Source organism: Homo sapiens, chromosome 3 (assembly GCF_000001405.40).
Source record: "Homo sapiens chromosome 3, GRCh38.p14 Primary Assembly".
NCBI classification, from domain to species: domain Eukaryota; kingdom Metazoa; phylum Chordata; class Mammalia; order Primates; family Hominidae; genus Homo; species Homo sapiens.
The window spans coordinates 130,386,016-130,407,107 of record NC_000003.12 but is presented as its reverse complement, the minus strand read 5'-3'; the positions used below and the strand labels follow the sequence as shown (position 1 = coordinate 130,407,107).

General features: G+C 40.8%; 1 protein-coding gene across 3 annotated transcripts in view; it reads right to left on the bottom strand.

Annotated features, from left to right (window-relative positions):
- The window catches only part of COL6A5 (collagen type VI alpha 5 chain), a 139,175-nt gene that overhangs the window by 77,739 nt on the left and 40,344 nt on the right, over positions 1-21,092 (bottom strand). For all 3 annotated transcript variants that reach the window (NR_022012.3, NM_001278298.2, NM_153264.7), the window contains exons 6-17: positions 17,974-18,528; positions 15,354-15,929; positions 11,643-12,218; positions 9,185-9,525; positions 8,997-9,078; positions 5,935-6,077; positions 5,254-5,346; positions 3,446-3,499; positions 1,449-1,520; positions 1,089-1,115; positions 933-977; positions 787-840 (exon numbers count right to left, since the gene is read on the bottom strand). Coding sequence is in view for 2 of the 3 variants with exons in the window: in NM_001278298.2 (NP_001265227.1) it covers positions 787-840; positions 933-977; positions 1,089-1,115; positions 1,449-1,520; positions 3,446-3,499; positions 5,254-5,346; positions 5,935-6,077; positions 8,997-9,078; positions 9,185-9,525; positions 11,643-12,218; positions 15,354-15,929; positions 17,974-18,528 (2,618 nt within the window). In the remaining variant the exon portion in view is untranslated. The remainder of the gene's footprint in view (positions 1-786; positions 841-932; positions 978-1,088; positions 1,116-1,448; positions 1,521-3,445; positions 3,500-5,253; positions 5,347-5,934; positions 6,078-8,996; positions 9,079-9,184; positions 9,526-11,642; positions 12,219-15,353; positions 15,930-17,973; positions 18,529-21,092) is intronic.

Sequence of the window (21,092 nt, the reverse complement as noted above, 5' to 3'; positions counted from 1 at the left end):
CCTCCAGGAAGACTTTCTGGACAACCCCTGCCCCCAGGCTGAGTTACATGCCCTTCTCTGGACTCCCATGTAGATATCTACAACATGGCCTCACTCACATTTTATGTAATTCTATTGATATGTCTGTCTCCCCAACTATACTGTGGGATCTTTGATGACAAGGGCTGTGTGGTTCACCTCTGATTCTTATTATATAAGAATATATGCCTGGCCAATGACAGGTGCCTGGCACATGACAAACCTGTCAAATGACAGGTGCTCAAAAATATTTCATAAATCAATGGATCAGAACATAAAAGTAGAGCTGCTTGAAATCAAGTAGGCACACACTAATGAGTGTTGAAATAAATGTAAAGTTAAAAAATGTTTCACAGTGATTTGCTACCAAAGCCACCAAAATAATTTTGTCTCTTTCTCTTGCTTTTTTTTTTCTGACATAATAAAGACAACACAGAAATTACTGACATTGATGGAAACGTTGTGGTAAAAAACAAATGAACAAAAGAAACCACTGACAGGTGAAAGCATTCATTTTCAGACATGAGAAACATGCCCATAGAACAAGCTTGTGTGTGCTAAATTTTTCTAGGTGGAAATTCTTTAAAATTACATAATTACCCCCTTGCTTCAATCAGATATGCAGCATACATTCAGTAGCAATAGGCCTTCATTATGTGGTTAAGTCAGTTGTAAATTTTATCCCCTATAACCACTGACACACAGCAGTTAAGACTGTCTCTGTCACCAAATTCTCCTTCTTTGAAGTATTGAAAAGAAAAGTGTTACCTGAGATCCTGGATCACCTTTTTCTCCTTTTATTCCAGGAAATCCATGACAGCCCTAAAAGAAGACAAGAAAAACAAAATTCCCACTTAAAAAAAATTTTAGCAACCTCATGACAGTTTTATGATACTTGAAGAAATATGGCTTACCTCTTCCCCATCAAGTCCATCAATCCCATCGTCTCCATGACCTCCCTGAGAGATGACAATAGACAGGCATCAGGTAAAAGCAGGTCTCTGCCACACGCTTATTCGGAAACTAATCCCATTTGGAAATCAAATTAAACTAAGAAAAAACTCCAGTACCTTAGGTCCAGAAAATCCTTTGAGTCCCTGCAAAAGATGAAATATCTCTCACTGACAAATCAAAGACAGAGTGTGGATTCAAAGACTGCCTCTCTAAAGTGAGTGAGCATGTATTTCTTTAGTCGCTTCGGGCTATACATCTACAAAGAGGTTAGAGATGCAATTTATTAATGCTAAAGACTCCTTGATATTATTAAAAAGCAGAATTAGTCTGCAGACAGGAAAACTCATCTATATAACTGGAGAAAGGAAAAGAGAGAGGAGTGATGGAAGAGAGAAAATGAGGGAGGAAAGGAATGGGGAAAGAGAGGGAGAGAATGTTACAGAGAATTGGAAATAACATTTACAGAAGAGCCTTACCTTCTGACCCCACGCCCCTGGACATCCTGCAATCCCTTTGTCTCCTTGGGGTCCTGTGTCTCCTCGTACTCCCTAAGAAAAGGAGCACAGACAGGTACCCAAAGTGATGTTTTTGCCAGAAGCTGCCAGTGGTTTATTTTCACAGAGTTAAGACAAAGCACATGGGCACTATGAGCTTTAGAAAAAGTGAATCCTCTTCAAAAAGGATTCAAAAGTGAATCCTCACTCATTTATGTCTGTTTTTCCCCTCTGTATTCAAACATGTTTCCTGTCAACCTTCAGGGCTTTTTATAGACCCAAGATCACAAAAAGGTGCAAGAAGAGCTCAGCCACTTCACTACCTGATCAAACAGCACAGTGGCTTCACTTTGTAGCCACATTCCAAGACTCCAGTAATCCATCTACGGCCCTAATGCTATACTGGGAGAGTCAGCATTGCTGACAGTAGACCCACAAGTCAGTGCTAGGGTACTGCTGCTGAGTAGAAACAGTTGCTGGGAAGTGACACTACTAGGAGAATGAGAAAGCAAAGGTGAGAAAAGCCAGTCCTCACAGGAGGAATCACCAGGTTAAAGACCCCCAAAGTCAGACTATCCGTGCAGGGGTGAGCACTGAAGGTCAATGATTTGTGTGTCTCCCACCAACCTTGCTTCTCCAAGGAAATATTTAAATACAGGTAAATGCTAAAGTAAAATGGATCTTAAGAAAGGAACAATTTTGTGCTTTTTGAGGGCAGGAACCCCAACTGTGTCTTTCACCATCGTGTCCCTTGTGACTGGCTCATGTCTAGGTGCATAACAGGTGCTTACATTTTGCTGCATGAATAATTAACTAGTAATGAGCTTAATTCTTGCCTTGCCAGTAAGAGAGGGAGAAAGGATTTTCCTTTGTCCTGCTTTGCTTTCTTTATCCTGAGGATCATTCCCTGCAAAAGGAGGAGGCCTTGCCCATGGCCACAGGTTGCTGAGAGGTACCTTAGCCCTATGGCTTCCCATTGCCTGGACTTTCTGCCAGTGGTGGGCTCAGCCAGGCAGGTGGGTGACACTATTCCCCACACTGAAAGCACTCCCATGCTAGTTTGGAGGGTACAGAGTAGGTGATTTAGAGCACCCCCCTTAGTGGTCATTTTGTAAACTAGGTCAGCCATTAGATTGTAGAGGAACTTATAATTGCTTACAGATGAGAAAACTGAGGGTCAAGAAGTTAGGTATCTTGTTCAAGGACCCATATCTAGGCCAACTCTTGGCAGCCTGACTCTAGAGTCTTTGCTTTCAATCCTTAAAACTTCCTGCCCAGATGAGGAACTGGACTTGATCTAAGGTGATAGAAATCCAGTCTGGATGCTTTCTGAAATTTTTCCATCCCTAACAGAGCCACCTAAGTGGTTTCAGTTTCTTCAAATTCTTTCTCACAATTTGATTGATGAGAAAGTGAGAGTTCTGGTTTCAAACACAGAGATTCGCAAACCTCTGTGTAGCATTTGACCGTGAAGCCATGCCTCTCATCTTGAGGGATGCTTTGCCGACTTCCCTTTCCATGGAAGGGTGTATACTCCAGCCTTGGCCCAAAGCCATGTACTAAGCACTGGGTTTTAGGTCTAAAAAGAGCTCCCTGGCAGATAACCTGCTGTGCCCTGCTTGGGGGTAGAGAGGAGGGTGCCCAGGTATCTGCCACTGATAAAAACATGCCAGGCTACACGTGTAAGCCTGTTCCCTCCTTACCCCAAACTTAGACTTAGTAACTGCCTCATCATTCAGACAAGGAAAAGTGAAAAGAAAGGCAACCCTTCTTCCCACAAAAAAGCACAAAAATAAACATATAAACAAAATAAACATATCAACATATAAAAATAAACATATAAACAAAACCCCATCTACCCCTTTTGTATGAAAATAAGCTTTTTTTATGAAAAAGAAAATAAGTGTGTGTTTGTGTGTGTGTGTGTGTGTGTACAGTGTGTGTGCAACAGGGGGTGAGGGGGAGTAATAAAAACTTACAGGGTTTCCATCCTCTCCCCTGTGTCCTCTGCTGCCTTTCAGACCTTGAGAACCCTGGGAAGAAAGAGAGAACAATACATTTTAGTCACCCCCCCCCAATAAAGTCAAACTTGTGAAATCATTAGGCATTCTAAGCAAGTCCCTTCCTCCAACTTGGTTGCAGTTTCTGCAGATGTGGCCGTGAGTTTGGGGAGAATCTGACAACATCTGGAGCTAGCTTTTGTCCTTGCACTCAGCTCTGAAGCCCCTCTTGCAGAAGGTGACCCTCCTAATGCTTGCGGGAGGCTGACCTTTGGAACCCACCAGCAGATGAGACCCACAGAGCCACACCTGCACCTGAGCGATTTGCAGGGAGGACAGCTGTACCAGCCACAACCCTTTCAGCAGACAAACCGATAACATTTCCAAAGGTATTATTTTATTTTGTCCTGCTATTTTGAGAGCTCAAGGAAGAATAACCACTTCCAACAACAAGATTGCATATATTTTAATTGCAGTCATCTCTCCCTTAGCCACATGTGGTTTAACTGTGTTGTGGCTTACTTGTGGCAAACATTTCATTTGAGTTTGCTTTCCCCACCCTCTAACACAGGCCCAGCTGGCTGATCAGTATACCAGGGGGGTTGTGCTTCTGGAACATAATTCTAATATTGACCTGAGCAAAGTATCGAGAGAAAATTGTGCTAAACAAAACATCACAGTGCAGTAAAAAGTTCAATATAAATTGTCCTTCCATAAGGATGGACAGTGCAGAACTCATGAGCAAGTATTGTTGATCTCTTTTTTTTAAAGAAAAACTTCATTTGTATTGTGATACCTAAAATCCATTTGAAAAGTGCATTAAAGTGTATAAAATATAAATGTATAGTTTAATTGTTATAAAGTAACTTTATAGAACAATATTATAATTTTTATATATATAAGGTCTATGTAGCCACCATGCAGGTCAAGAAATAGAGCATTATTGGTCCCAGGCACAGTGCCTGTCCCCAGTCACAATTCACCCCCAGCCTCTCTCCACAAGGGCCCTCCTGACTTCTGATAATATTTTCTTGCCTTTTAAAAATACTTCACCGTTAAGTATTCCTCCCTAGATACTATAACTTCTAATAAATGGAATTTTACCACATGCATTCTTCTATGTTTTGCTTTTTTTAGTCATTACCATGTTAGTAAAAGTTATTCATGTTGTTGTGTGTAGCTGTAGTTCATTCATTTTCATTGACATATTTTATTGAAAATATCATGACATATTTATTCATCCTATTGTTGTATAATATTTTATAATTTGTGTTTTAAAAGGCTATTAATCTGCAATGCTATGATCTTTTTGTAGTTCAATCTCATTCTGTTACTGATGAAGCACAACTCTTATTTGTTTATTTATTTTTAAGGAGATGGGGTCTCGTTATGTTGCCCTGGCTGGTCTTGAACAATCAAGTGATCTTCCCACCTTAGCCTCCCAAGTAGCTGGGATTACAGGTGCAAGCTCCTACACCCAGCTTCATCTCCACTATTTTTTACTTCTTACCACCTTTCAAACTTTCTAAAGCAGGTACAAAAGTATAAATTGCAAAACCAAGAAGCAACATTGCCAAGGGTATGTAAAAGAAAAGGGAGTTATTCTTGCTAGCAGTATCAAAAGTGAGCTCTCCTGACCTGGATTTTATTCCAAAAAAGTCACATGAAATGTCCAAAGCAATTCCATTAGCATAGAGTGAAGGCTGTAAATTCAACCACTCAGTCTCAGTCCCACCTGTACCAAATCAAGGCACATTAGATAAAATAGTATCACAGGTGAGTGGCACCTTCATGGCTTGTAGTCCTCGGGTCCCATGAGGTCCTGGAATTCCTGGACATTTGCAGAATGTACAGCAGCAAGTCCTCTCTGCAATATTTCCCTGGGGGAAAAAAAGTAAAGCTGAGGGAATAGCAATTGTCAGAAACTTTATTCCATAAGAATTGTACTCATACAAATCATAATCCACCATCTACACGCCCATCTTCACCCTTTGGATGAGGGGCTGCAGAGAATAAGAGGTGCTTTCTGAATTTAACACTGCAGAGAAGGTACCAGGCACTGCATTGGCAACATCGCCTCTCCAGAGGAAATGATCTCTGTCTATAGACAGGGCATCCAGTATGTGGATGGCCATGGCCCAACTTTGCCTAAGACTTGTTGGTTTCTAGTTGACAGTCTTCTGTTTCCTGGAATTTCTGCAGCACAAACAGTTGGGGGCTTTTTAATTCAATTATGAGTTGGTTGGTTTTTTAGTTACTTATGCATTCATTTAGTGAGATGACAAAGAATGAAAGAACATGCAAAAACAAAATACTATGCTATGGTCTTCCACACTTTTTTATATACTAAGGACAAAGCACTTAATTTAGTGGGGGTAAACAAAGGCAGTCTTTGAAAGTTCTCATCAAGATTCCAATTTAGTTCCCATGGCATTTTGAACAACCGGGGATTTTGTTCAACAACTCACCAGGTACTGTGATAGTTTTTTGCCCAGTTCTCTCATTCCAATAGTCAGATGAGTCCTGTAATCGAATCTTTTTCCAAATTCAAAGCTAGAAAACTCATGATGAGCAGTTGTGTTAAGGGACACTACCAGCAGAGCATCAAGTCCTATGTGGTAAAAACCACAATATAAATAAAGCAAAGGGGTTGTACATGAAAAAGAAGAAGACATAATAATTCTACTCAGTGAACATGATTTAAAGAATTGAAAAGGGGAAAAAAACAAACATAAGAGGAAGGAGTACTCCTGACATATGAAGAAACTAACAGAGAATTTGCCTGCATTTTCTGAATATGCACCAGCTCTGGTCCCTGACCGTCGCATGAAATCCCCTGATAAAAAGTATTCAAGAGAAACGATTTACAAATCTACAGAAAAACACTAATAGAAAACTGTGTTCCACATCTTACCACCAATTTTCATGCAATTCTTGGGCACGGGAAAGTGATTTTTAAGAAAGGGCATTATTCATCTCCAGAGAGCTTTGCTGAATTTTCCTGAATGTACATTAATGATAATTCTCAAGTTATTCCCAATTCCAAACACCCCTGGGAGGCCAAGCCCTGAGAACATGAGGAAAGCCCAGGGCAATTGTCTCAGCTGAACTCCTGACCACATCCAGTTCATTCATTAATTCATCTATTCACTCATTAATTCATTTACTAGTTCATTGACTTTATTCATCTTTTCACTAAACAAATTTTTAAATTATTAATAGGAGCCTATTATGTATTAATCATTGTATAATAGCAGAGATACAAATGAATAAGTCAGGTTTACTTCTTTCCTTCCCAGAGTTAATGGTCTAATGGAACAGAGGGTCAAGAATCAGATAGTTGCTCTGAGAAACATCAGGGTTCCATGACAGCCTAGAGGAGAAGCTCCTAACCCATTCTTGGAGAGTCATGGAAGGTTTCTTGGAAAAATTGATGTTGAAGCTGATTCTAAAGGATAAATGTAAGTTGGCCAATGGAAAGAACCAGAGATGGAAGATGGAGAGAGTACCCGGGGAGGTAAGGAGATAGAGGAAGCTCTAGGCAAGGACGGAGAGAAGTGAGGCTGTAAAGTACATGGGGACCAGGCACAGTGGCTCACACCTGTAATCCCAGCACTTTGGGAGGCCGAGGTGGGCGGATCACCTGAGGTCAGGTATTTGTGACCAGCGAACTGGTCAACAACATGGAAAAACCCCATTTCTACTAAAAATACAAAAAAAATTTAGCCAGGCATGGTGGTGGGCACCTGTAATCCCAGCTACTCGGGAGGCTGAGGCAGGAGAATCGCTTGAACCTGGGAGGCAGAGGTTGCAGCGAGCTGAGATTGTGTCACTGCACTCCAGCCTAGGCAACAAGAGCAAAAATCCATCTAAAAAAGTATATATATATATATATCTCATTACAGGAAGAATGGGAAGAATGGGAAAAAATAGTTTCATATGCCTGGAACACTGAATATAAGAAATGAGTTGGCCAGGTGCAGTGGCTCGTGCCTGTAATCCCAGCACTTTGGGAGGCCGAGGTGGGCGGATCATGAGGTCAGGAGATCCAGGCCATCCTGGCTAACACGGTGAAACCCCATCTCTACTAAAAATAAAAAAAAATTAGCCAAGCGTGGTGGCAGGCTCCTGTAGTCCCAGATACTCCAGAGGCTGAAGCAGGAGAATGGTGTGAACCTGGGAGGCGGAGTTTGCAGTGAGCCAAGATCGGGCCACTGCGCTCCAGCCTGGGTGACAGAGCGAGACTTTGTCTCAAAAAAAAAAAAAAAAAAGAAAGAAATGAGTTAAGGCTGAAATGGCAAGCAAAGGCCAGGTTCTGCAAAGCTCCCAAGCCATGTTAAGGAATTTGATCTATATCCCAAGAACAATGAGAAGGTATTGAAGGGAACTGTGCAGAGAAAGAGACACAACTGAGCAATAAAACAGGACATATTGTGGTCTTTAGGGAGGTTGCCTGTGGAAGATGAACCCTAGAAGCCAGTCTGGGCTACACCAAGGAATTCTTAAACAATGCATCTCATTTGACAATTAACGGAGTCTTCCATTGCTGCATCCTACTCTCAACTTCTGCATTTAGCTTCCGGCTCAGTTTGAAGCTATGACATGGACAGAAAATATATAGCGAGAAGTGCTTTTCCAAATCCACGTTGCTATCTTTCATATGGAAAAGAAGGAACAGTAGGAGCTGTCTTCGGTCAGGTTCCCTAGAACTGGAATCTGAAAGAGGATTTTGTATGTATGTGGTGTCTATATTGAGAGAGCAGAAAAGGGAAGGAGATGTTGTAACCAGGGATACATCTCAGTAAATTCTTAGCCTTTGCCTGATTCATGAGGGACTCTGGAATGCAAATTGTACTAGAGTTGACCCATTTAAGCAAGAGTGCCAGGCTTTTGTATCCCTATATCATAGTTGCCCCTGCCCCCACCACCAACGTGGGGCATGGTAACCCCACACCCATTCCAAGCACGTCCAGGTACATGGTTCAGATCAGTCAAGGACACATGTCTATATAGAAGGTCATAAGTCTAAGCACTTGGCCACAGCATTTGCAGCATTTTGGGGAGGAGTGTGAGGGCTGGTCAACGGGGATTAGATGAGGTATCAACAGCCTCTGCTACAAGTAGCTAGGCAGATCTCAAGATCTACAGCATCTGAGTAAAGGTAGAGACTTGTTAAGCATATTCCATGCTTCACTGTTTAAATTTTCAACTCGGCTGGGCGCGGTGGCTCACGCCTGCAATCCCAGCACTTTGGGAGGCCAAGTCGGGTGAATCACGAGGTCAGGAGATCAAGACCACCCTAGCTAACACAGTGAAACCCCATCTCTACTAAAAATACAAAAAATTAGCTGGGCGTGGTGGTGGGCGCCTGTAGTCCCAGCTACTCAGGAGGTTGAGGCAGGAGAATGGTGTGAACCCAGAAGGTGGAGCTTGCAGTGAGCTGAGATCGTGCCACTGCACTCCAACCTGGGTGACAGACTGACACTCCATCTCAAAAAAAAAAAAAAAAAAAACAACAACAACTCAATACCTGCTTCTCTGAGCCTGTCTGATTGATTTTCAAGCATTATGTTGCTTTCACTCTGGAGACCGTCTGAAAAAATAAGCAGCACCTGGAGAAATAAGAAAATGGTATGGTGTAAAAGCTAAATATATAATTGGGGAATGAAGAACAAATGGGAGAATGTGGAGATGGGAGATAGAATGTAATATGGATACCTGGCCCCGGGATGCAGATTTATCCTTAAATGTGTCCCAAAGAGACCGCAAGAACTGTGCGTTCAGATGAGTTGGCCCACTGACGTTGACTTGCAGCAAGCTGTCAAACACTGCTTTCTGATAGATTTGGAACTTGGCAGGGAATCCTTGGTCACTGTTCACCTTAAACGCCAAGCTCACCTGTGCCTCTGTGCCAGCCCCACAGCTCACCCCCTTGATAGAGCTGATGTCTTCTAAGATGCCTGGGAGGTAGGATTCCAGCTGGGGGTGGCCCTGGAACAAAGGCTGCCCCTGCACATGAGTGGAGATGTCAAACCCAACCACTATGTCCATAAAGCAATCTAGAAACCAAGGGAACAGAGTCAAGATTAACGAGTAGACAGGAGTAAGGAAGGAGAGACGGCAGAAAAAAGGAGCACTGTCATGCCCCAGAGCTAGAGGGTCTCTAGTCCCCAAATAGTGTTCAAGAAGGAAGATACTGGCTGCTTTATCATATATATACATATACATATATCATATATATACATATACACATATATATGTGTATATCACATATATATGTGATACCAACATATATCACAGGGGTTTTCTCTGTCCCCTTTAAAATATTAAAACTTCCAATAGCTATTTGAAGTTCAAACCATAATTTAGTCTCATTCTCAGTGACTCTGTCGTATGTGTGTGCGCATGCATGTGGGCGTGCATTTTAATGGTGACATATTTTGATTCACATAGTCAGAATACATTAAAGTTTTGAGGCTGGGTGTGGTGGCTTAAGCCTGTAATCCCAGCACTTTAGGAGGCCGAGGCAGGTGGATCATGAGGTCAGGAGATCGAGACCATCCTGGCTAACACGGTGAAACCCCATCTCTACTAAAAAATACAAAAATAAAATTAGCCAGGTGTGGTGGCGGGCGCCTGTAGTCCCAGCTATTCGGGAGACTGAGGCAGGAGAATGGCGTGAACCCGGGAGGCAGAGCTTGCAGTGAGCCGAGATCGTGCCACTGCACTCCAGCCTGGGCGACAGAGCGAGACTCCATCTCAAAAAAATAAAAAACAAAAAATAAATAAAGTTTTGTGCTGTCTTTTCAGATTATTTAAGTTTTAGAGGTTACAAACACAAATGGCTGCAAAGGCAGGTAGATAAGATAAATGATTCAAGTGGGCAGGGTGTGAGGAAAATGAACTGGAGAACAATGACCCATTTCTGGGTCTGTTCACTGTTCAGTTCCAGCTGAGAGTAGCTATGTGGAAAATGGGGCCTAGTGTTGTCAGATCTTCTGATTTTTCAAAGAGGAGCCTGATGTCAACATTTTTAATGTAGAACCTTCAGTGTGAATGCTGTCAACTAATTTAGCAACTCATCAACGCTGGATGCGACAAACAAACTGCAACTGCAAGCTGCCATTTGGTTATTCTGATCCTGCCCAGGTTGTTCATTTTACAGATGGGGAAACAGTCGTGTGTGGAGGTTGTTGCTGCTGAACCAGAGTTAGAACTCTAGCTTTCTGATTCCAGGCCCTGGGCTCTTTCCACCACTGTAATCTGCCTCCACTTGAGCACCGCAAATGGGACATATAAGATGTGGAGAGTTTGGAAAGACTATCACATTTTGTGAAAGAAGTGATTTCAATCATAATAACTCTAGAAACGTAAGAACTCTAAGGAATTTCTGCATGTTGTGCAAATTCCACAAACTGTTATCATTTGCTACTGCTTCCTTACATGCTGTCCTCTCAACTCCTAGCCTCAAATTTACAGAAGCTGAGTCCCCTGTGGCCACTCTCAGCTGGAGCTGAATAGTGGCATTCCTGTGAGATGCATCATTGTTTTTCAGTTCACTGTCCTCATACTCTGCTCACTTGACTCATCTCCACTACGCACCTGGCCTTTGCAGCCATTTGCCTTTGTGACCTCTGGATTAAATAACCTCTAAAGACAATTCAGATCTTTAGTAGGCTATGATTATATGAATGTAATCATTAAAAGAAGAAAAATACACTGTACACACACACATACACACACACACACACACACGAGTCCCTTACAAGATGGCTTAACAAAGGTACAATAGTAAAACTTCCAATCTGTAAATGTTTATTTTACTTACTTCCTACTGGATGCAGGGCATTTACTAGGAGGACAGAAATAGGAGAGAGAGATCCAGGTGTTAAAAGGAGAATAAACACTGGATTGCCGTGAGGGAACAGGGCTGACCAGAGGACACAGCCCAGGGGTCCCCTCTAGCCTCTGCACCCTTTCCATGTCTTTGAGGGAGGCTGAGTTATCCAAACTTCCTGGAAGCAGAGAAGTCTCTTCTCATTGCACAACAAGTGAGATATTCTCACTAAATATATGTTCTAAATATATGCTCTGCTAGAGCTAGCCCATAAGACACTCTTGGGAAATGGAGAAATGAGAAGTTTCCATGGAAGAAAACCAAACAAGAAGCACTTACTGGTTTTCCCACAGCTCTGGCAGATTTCACGGATGATTCTTTTTTTCACATCCACATTCTTTAATTTATCAAAGTCTTGAAAAGTGATTATTTTTTCAGAATTGCCTGTTATTGGCAGGAGATGTTCCTTATAAACATCTCCTATGCCCAAAACCAGGACACAAATTCCAAGGTCCTTCAGGGTTTTTACTGCATCTGCCACATCATAGCGAGGATCTCCAGATGTGATAACAACCAAAGTTTGGGGGACACCAGCATTTCTTCTCCCACCAGCATGTAGATTAAACATATTGCTCACTTTTTTAAGGGCAAAGTCAATTCTTGGAAATCCACCGCTCTTGGAGACATTCTGAATTTGAGTCTTCCACTGGGTTTTAGTCAGAGAGTTTTTCAACTCAATAATACTCTGGTAGTTGCTTCCAAATTGAGCCATACCAATTTTCATTCTTTGAGACTGAATGTCAAAATTATCGATTAAGTCTGACAAGAAAGTTGTCATGGTTACAAAATCTGAATTAGATACCCTGTCAGAGCCATCGCAAAGGAAAATCACGTCAGCTTCCTGAAGATGACAGACTGCAATAGAAAAAAGAATAAATTATTTTCCTCATGAATCATTCGAAATTTTTCCTTTCCTCATATACTTAAATTGCTTTACTAAATACTTCAATTGATTTACATTAGCAAATTGAGATAAGTTAACAAGAGAGAGAATCACTGATCCTCAAAAAGAAGAAAAAATAGCAAGAGGAGGAAAGATAATGGAGTTTTTTTCAAAGTTTAATTATTTATACAATCCATTTGAAAAGACACTGAAAGCTAATCAGAGAAAGAAAGTAAGAAGTTTGAATAAATTTCACGTACTCATTAAAAGGTGATTATAAAGGGTAGACGTCCCTTCAAAACACCACGATTGGGACATTTACCCCATCAAGATAATAGCACTTACTTACTGTACTATTATTAGTACTCCTATTACTATTCATGTTATCACTTTACATTCATATTGAGGAGTAGCATTTTAAAAATGCTTTTGGCATACACTAACAACATTAATATTCACAACCACCTTATGACTAATTATTCTAATTTTACGAATATAGAAATAGAATTCAGAGGCTAAGTGACTCGCCTAAGAGCACACAGTTACTATGGAGTGGAGCTGGTATCTGGACCTCTAGATCCTTTTTACTCTTAAATTTAGCACTTTTTTTCTGCTGCAATGCTTTTTAAAAATATCATGACTCAAATGTTAGAACTTCTCAGAAGAAGTGTGAATGGCTGGTAAACAGAGCATAAGGTCACCTCCCTGAAGTCCAATCTGAAATGTCCCAAAATCAAAGGGTGACTTTCTATACTCATTTCCAACCAAACTCAATGGCTGTGGTAGCAGCAGCACTACGGTGATTACTAAAGGTAATTGAGACAGTAGGTTACCCACGGTCACAGAATTCCTTGTAAGGGTAGTGTGGCAGACACAAAGATGGGCTGCCCGGATAGACCTGCAAAGAAGAACTTACTCCCCAGCTATGGGAGTATGGGCAGGCGGTAAACAGCTTCTAGCTGTCAGCACTTTCAGGGTCTGTCTCACTATAGAGAGATGCCTTGCCAAAGGTCATGCCCTTCCTAGGGCCACCACATCCAGGCACTAAGTGGGAAGGGAGTTCTCCCTTAGTCCAGCTGTTTCAGGCTGAAGCTGGACAGCTCTCATGGGCGAAATTTGCTTCAGAGCTCTCTGCTAGGTTTGGAGCTTTGTTTAGCCTATGTCACTATTTGAGTTATTTGGTCCATCTTGCTTTCCCCATTTATTTTACAGGTGTGGATCCCTAATAAACATCTTGCATCCCAAACTCCATCTCACCACTACCTCAAAAATGTAGGCATAGGAAATGAGAATAAAACAGCCTCCACATTCATAGGAAAAGACTGTAGTCTTAGTAATGCGCCAGTTTTGGAGGACACCCCAAACAAACAAGATTAAGCCTGCCTGTGGAGCTTGTAGTCTTTTGATAGATACAGATAGGAAAACAGCAAATATGTGTCAAGTGCTACCACCTGGAAAATAGAAGGAGTGAGAGTTGGGGGATACAGTGGGGACACGGGGTCAGGTTTTGGGCCAGGAAACTAGCAAACAAAGACTGAAATTTGACAGAAAAGTGAGACGTAGGCAGGCACAGTGGTGGGCTGGAGTGTTCATGGTGGGCAGGATAGTGTGCACAAAGATGTGGAGGAATTTCAGAAGGACAGGGTAGATTGTGAAGAGGGGAGAGGTGATCAATGAGGTTGGCGAGGTGGGCAGGGGCTAGATAGAGCTCAGGAGTTTGGAAATTGCCCCAAGGGCACAGGGAGGCCTCCAAGAAAAACACACACACACACACACACACACACAAAAAAAAAACACTGTAAGCAGAAGAGTGACCACATCCAGTGTGTAGAAGAAAGAACATTCAGTGTTAAGTGGACTGGCAGGTGTGTCAGGACTGAGGGAGGGGAGCCCACGCTTCAGACTGAGAGTCAAGGGAGAGGATGGAACAGGCAGAAGAACTGGGGTGGTCCTGCTGCCTTGGGAAAAATCATAATTTTCCTTGGATAAAGATGATACCATCATTCAATATCTGAAACGAAGAAGATGAATTAATTGCTTACTTAAGTAAGGTAAAGCTATGGTGGTCAGGCATAGTTTTATTTAGCCAAGCAAATGCTGATCTGACACAGGATTTGAGGTAAGGTTTTGTTTGGAGTTGGACAAGTTACAGATATGGAAGTGGGTTAATGTCAGTCTTAGAAACATGATTTATATTAGTGACAAAAGTGAGCTTCCTGTTGGTAGAAAGGAAGGAATAAAGGAGGAAAGAAACAAGAGGAAGGAGGGAGGAAGGAAGTGAAGAAGAAAGGAAATTTGAGAGTTAATTGTTTCATTTGCCAGATTGGGAGGACTGGGCCAATAACAAACCACAAGAATTCAGACCTTCCAAGTAGGCACAGCAGCCCTTCCTAGATGACTTATCAGTCTCTACTGCTTTTAAGACCACAAGTGGCAAGTGTCACCCTGTCCTCACTCAAATGTGATGTCTCCAGCCTACCAACCCCAATGGTAGCTGGTAATCATCTCAGTTCCCTTCCCTCCCTGTTTCTCTCAGCCAGCTTCCATTACCCTACGTTCAACTCTCATATCCTGCCCTCTGCACAGGTGGCGCTTACCCAGAAAAGCACATCAGGCCACTTGAATTTTGATGCCTCTCTAGAATGCCTATGATCTCATTTAGAGGGCCCTGGATCTTTGAAGGCAAAAGTCTATCCATTTAAACCATGAAACTTTCCGTTTGAGTTTGACCTGAAACTGATGTCCAGTGGCTGCATTGAGAGCATTAACCAAATGGAGCACCATGAGCAGCCATTACTTGGGGTAAGGTGAATATGACCCTAAGAAGAATTCCTTTCTGCCAGAAAAAGGCAACAGAGTAGTAAAATGCCACGGAATGCATCTGGAACTTTCCTGTATAATCTCTTCAGTGCATGCTGTGGTGAGAAGGAAACTTTGGGATCTTGTTCAATCAACCCATTTCTTTTAGAGATGAGAAAACTGATAGCCTGAGCAGAGAAATGTTCAGTCCATAACATCCAGGTAATCGGAGACCTGAGACTTATGATTTACTTTTTGTTTAAACTTTTATTGCTACCCCCATAGAAACTTTAAAAGTAACAACTTACCCTCTGGTGCTTCAGTACACATACGTTCTTGAACAAGTGTGAAAACATCTTTCAGTTTGTCAAAATTATCTACATAGATAGTATTGTTTTTATTCCCTGCCATACCCTCAAGTTCCTTTTGGTTGGCCTTTCCTACACCCACTGCAAAGATGGTGATGCCTTTGTTTCTCAGTTCCAATGCTGTGTCATTGAGCTGATCATGGTCATGGGATTCCCCATCGGTGATGACAATCAGCATCTGCTTCACATTTTGCTTGATGCGGCTGCCATGTTCCTCTGTAAACAGGGCATTTGCGTGCTTGAGAGCCTTGGCAGTGTAGGTGTTCCCTCCAGTGTCCCTGCGCTTCCGCAGATTCTCAATTATTGCTGATCTGTTCGAGTATGTATTAAGGTAGAAAAGGATGTTAGGTTGGTCAGAGTATTTGAGGGCTCCAAACTGAACTCGGTCCCTGCCAACATCTGCTTTCTTCACCAAATGGATAGTTAGGTTAATCATGTGATCTTGATATTGTTTTTTTATGCTACCTGAATGATCCAGCACAAACACAACGTCTAGTAGTGTAATCCTTTTACAATCTGAAAGAAGATGAAAACAGGAGTCACAAACTTTCTGCAGTGCATTCTACGCAGGGTGCTGAGAAGGGAAGCGAACTGGCATTTGCCATGAGCCTACTATGTGTCAGACACTATATCTCACTTAGTTCTTAGAGGTGGCTGCTGCCATTTTACAGAAAAAAAAAGTCAAGGCTCAGAGAAGTGCAACTTGCCTACATCATGACTCCAAAGACATTTGTACCCTATCTATATCACTCCAGGTTTGCTGGTCCTTATGCCACACCACTCTATTTTGATATATCTCATTAGGACATGTAATGTCTTTTGCTAAGCAGGCTTTCAACTGAAAGGCAACGTTAGAAGCTAGTTCCATGCCAATGTAATGGCGAGATATACTGATGTTTGCCAAACTGGCCTGCTATTTCGAAAAGCTCAGGAGCTCACTGTATAAGTTGGTAGTTTTACCCTACTCCCTCTGGCTCCAGGTATCTTTGGACCCTCGGGTATGCAAACCATCCCTGTTTATCATGTCTCTCTGCAGTTATTTATGCTTTTTCCCCTAACCTTTTGAATTAGAACTCAGAAAGAAGTGGCCCCAAGTAGGAGGAGAGCAAAAACTCCTATCACCTTTTCCCTGACCCCAAACCCTCCTCCACATTGTAAGACAAATGACTGTTTTGGCTGGCTTTCCAAAGTGTGGACTCTTTCCCCACTCTTTTCCTTCCCTCAATAACTTATGCACATGTATTCCAAAGATTGGCTTTCTCCACTTTCCACCTGCCTAGCTAATTGTCAACTCTTATTTCTAATAATAAAGTCTCAAATTTTTAATTTTCTGACACTGTGAATGTCCCCAGGCTGTATCTGTAAAAACCTTGGTCAATGACCCACTGAGAACTGGTGACTAGTCATGACCTGATACTTAGGAGACAATCTAATGCATGAGTCAGCTGAATTTCAGGTTATGCTGTAGACAGGGCCTCCACATTTACATTAATCAAAATGAAGAAATGCCAAGAAGAGCCTTGCAGGTTTCAAAGTTGAAGCTATAGCCTTTAGGTACACCTCTCAACATTATCAAGAGTTTTGGAATCACTGCCATCTTTGGGGGAAGAAGAAAATTCCAATTAAGCTGTTACCAAGGAAACTTTAGAACTATCACCTAACACTTAAGTGTTTATAAGACATTATGTTAAGTTTCTGAAAATTCCACATGCATAATTTTGACGAATAAAGTCCAATGAAAATCTCTATGTTGCCACAGGAACAACACAAAACAAACTTACTTGGGTTTGTTTTCTTAGTTGTATCCAAAACACAGAAAATAGCACATGATAGATTTAAAAACATAGGTGTTTTAGTCTATGTGTGGATTGAGAGAAAGCTCTCATTCAAAAGACATTAAAATTGATAGGCTCAAACTGAAGGTTGCACAATACAATTTTAAAAGCACTACAATTTGTAAGAATAAAATGATGACCCCAAGTAATCAGAAAAGTGACAAATTACAATTTTTCAAAGGGATGGATACACGAACAGGCAAATATAAAATATCCAGTTGATAGAGGTTAAGAATAATAATGTGAAGTAATGAAAATAAACTATCTTTAAAATACCCAGGGTTTTCTTGGTGGGTGGTGCTTAGGATACTAGATATAATTTAACTAAAAGAAAGACGAATTTGTATTTCTAGTTATTTTCTGCTTAACAATGGTCATAGATAGCCAAGAAACAATTCTAGAAAATCATTTGGGATTAAAAACTGGCTCTGGAAAATCCAGGCATGTGGGTATTAAAGATTTGTAAGTTTAAAGTAAAATTCTGGGATCTTTTTGGAACATATTTGAAGTCACCAATGCCATACTAACTTGTGCCAAACTAGATGCCAAAATTGTTAGTCTGAAACATTCCTGGAGGTCACAGGCATTTTAATATTACATAAAGAAGACCAAAACTTAACACTGAAGTCCAGGTGGAGGTCAGGGCCAGAGTGCCATTCACTGTTTCTCATTATAAAGTCAACAGCTCACATCCTTTAGTCCTGACAGATAACAGGGACACTTACCATGGAGAGCACACACACGAAAGATAAGTTTCCTTTCTAGTGCCTTTAGATGATCGAAGTTCTCAACATGAAAAACTAGGCTGCTATCCCCACTGATCTCTTCTAGCTGAGATCTATTGGCATTGTATACTCCTACAGAGAAGATGGTCACATCTTTGCCCCGAAGAATTCTAGCAGGATCTCTCACATCATCCTGCGCTACTCCATCTGTGATGAGGATGAGAAATTTTTTGGCCCCCAAACGGGCCCCCTTGGAGTGGGTGAAGTATTGACCTACAAAATTTAGTGCCTTTCCAGTTAAAGTGCCTTCATTGATGAGAGACATTCTATCTATTGCATCAGAAATTTCTTGCTGTGTAAAATATCTATTAAGCTGGAACTCTTCCTTAGTTTTATCACTGAACTGAACAACACCAATCTGGGTTTTGTCTGCACCAATTTGAATTTTAGTTAACAGGTTTTTCATGAAGATTTTCATTTTCCTAAAATTTTCATTTCCTATACTCCAAGAACTGTCCACCAGAAACATGATGTCGGCCTTCATGTCTTCACATCCTGCATGTTATAAAAAAAAAGACCAGAAATAACCAGGTTGGAAAGGTTCTCATGAAGTAACATTAAGGCAGAAACAAATGCATTAATGAGAAAACATTGAAAATTAACTCAGGCAACTGTTGTTATGTTTGAAAATTGTATTTGCTTCTTTAGTAGAAGCTGGTTGACTAGAACCTTGAATCAGAAATGCAGCTTCCAAAATGTGTATTTATTCATGCATGCATGCATGCATGCATAACTCATTTATTCATATTTCTTTCATTCATTCAATCATAATTTTGAGTTGTATAAAATGCCAGGCATCCAGCCATGTGTTAAAGATGCAGTAGTGATACAAAAAAGGAACCAGAGCCAAAGCAATCAATTCCTTGCACTCATAGTACTAACACTCCAGGGTTTTATGTATATTCTGGAGAAACACAATTTCAAATAATTTTTAAATAGCATTATTTTCTGGGATAATTCTAAGTGATTTCATAAACACTATAAATCAATATTAGAAATTGGAGAAAAAGTTTTTACTAGAGATAAGTGCTTCAGTAAGCATATACTCATTCAACATGGACTGTTCCTTTATACATAATATTTGTAGACAGCCTACTGATTGGAAATGAACATACAGACATACGTATATATATATATACATATATATACACACATATGTATGTTCATTGTTCTATGTATAATATAGACATATGTACACATATAAAACCAATTTCTATAATCTATTAAAAACAATATTATTAATTCATGATACATATGTTGTGTATATATATAATATGCAAATATATTGTCTTTAGCATGTATCTTTTTAGTCTTAATCCCTTTTGTCTATCTGTAATCTCTGCCATCCTCTTACAGTTTCTCCCTCAACATTCTGAAGTCTATCCCATACTTCTTGAAAATAAACATAGCATCAGCCATATATTAAAAAAATGAAAAGATGTTAACTATTACTTAATAAACGTGTAAGGTCACATTCTGATCCACCAGGAGGACTACACCACCATTTTAAGATTCAAGCTGCCATGGAACCATCTTGAAAGTCATGAGAGGAGAAATTGCTGAAGATGTTTGTGGCCTTGACAGAGTGGCCTTGACCACTGTAGTGAAGTGTGAAAGATTCTCTTCCATGTAACACATATAAAAGAAATAGGCTTCTACATACAGTTTAGTATTCACAGGATCTACTTCCTGGTATCTATTTGTGACAGAAACTACTTAATGTCCCTGAATATCTATCTTTCCATTCTTCTATGTTAATAAAATTTTAGATAGGCAGATGATTGCCCATCTAAAGATTGTATTTCCCAGCCTTCCTTGAAGCTAGCTGTGGCCTTGTGTCTAAGTTTTAACCAAAAGGTATGAGAAAAAAGTGATCTGGCCACTTCTGGGTCTTACCATTAAAACAGTTGAGTGTGGTAGGCTCCCTTGGTCCTTTCTCCCTTTCCATGGATGGAAGGTGATAAGAACTGGATCTTCAGTTTTGACCTAAAGATGGAAGCTATGTGTTGAGGATGGAACAGCCTCTCTACTAGACCTGGACTATTCACCCTAAACTATTATGTAAGAGAAAAATGATATTCTGTACTGTGTAGTCTGGGGTCTTTTTGCTATTGCAGCTTAACCTGTACCCTACTAATACACTGTGCCTCACTCCATCTGCATCTGCTCTGAGACTCCTTAGTTTTTTCTAGCTCCACAAGCTTTGGCTCCTTTGTTTTCCTGCTTCTCTGTTAGCCATTTTATGACTCATTTCCTTGTCCACAACTTATCTCCTCCTCCAGGCATGCCAGTGCTCAGGCTGACTACTTCAACTGCAACTACCTGAAGTGCAAGGGATGTACTGTACCTCCCTAGATTCGTCCAGGACCTTCTCCCTTGAAAGGATCTGAGATACAACCTACTTTATGCTTCCTGGAATCCTTTTACTTTTCTTAGCATCGACTCCAGGAAACATTGGGGAATCTTTTATTCTTGCACTCTTTCTAAGACACCCTAAAGACCCAACTCTGTTACTGTCCATAACAGGGAGAAAAATGAACAAAATTGTTACTTAGGATTTTGTTGTTAATGCTATTTATTTGCTTACTTATTTTTTATTTTTGTTTTTCAGTGGCTTAGAGAAAATTCAAACACGTTTTCAGTTTAGTCAAATAAGTGAGAATTCTCTTCCTTTCCTCATCGGTGAACACCTTAGCCACCTTCTGCAACAGCTAACTTTTTTGTAGCGCTTACTATGTTCCAGGCACTCCTCTAACTGCTCCACGTGTGTTATCACCATTAAGCTTCACAATAAGCCTACAAACAAGGAAACCAAGGCAAGTAGACACTAACTTATTCAAGGTCGTGGCTAATCAGTGGTAAAGCTAGGGTATGAACCTTGACTCTGACTCTAGCATCTTTCCTCTTTACCAGTAAACTAATGTGCTTCTCAGCAGGCAATATTTTCATGTGCTAATACTGGCAATCAACACATACCATCTTGAACTAGTAAGTGGTGTAAGTGGCCATTATTAATAATAGAAATAAAAAAACAACCAGATATAGAAATTTGCAAATTG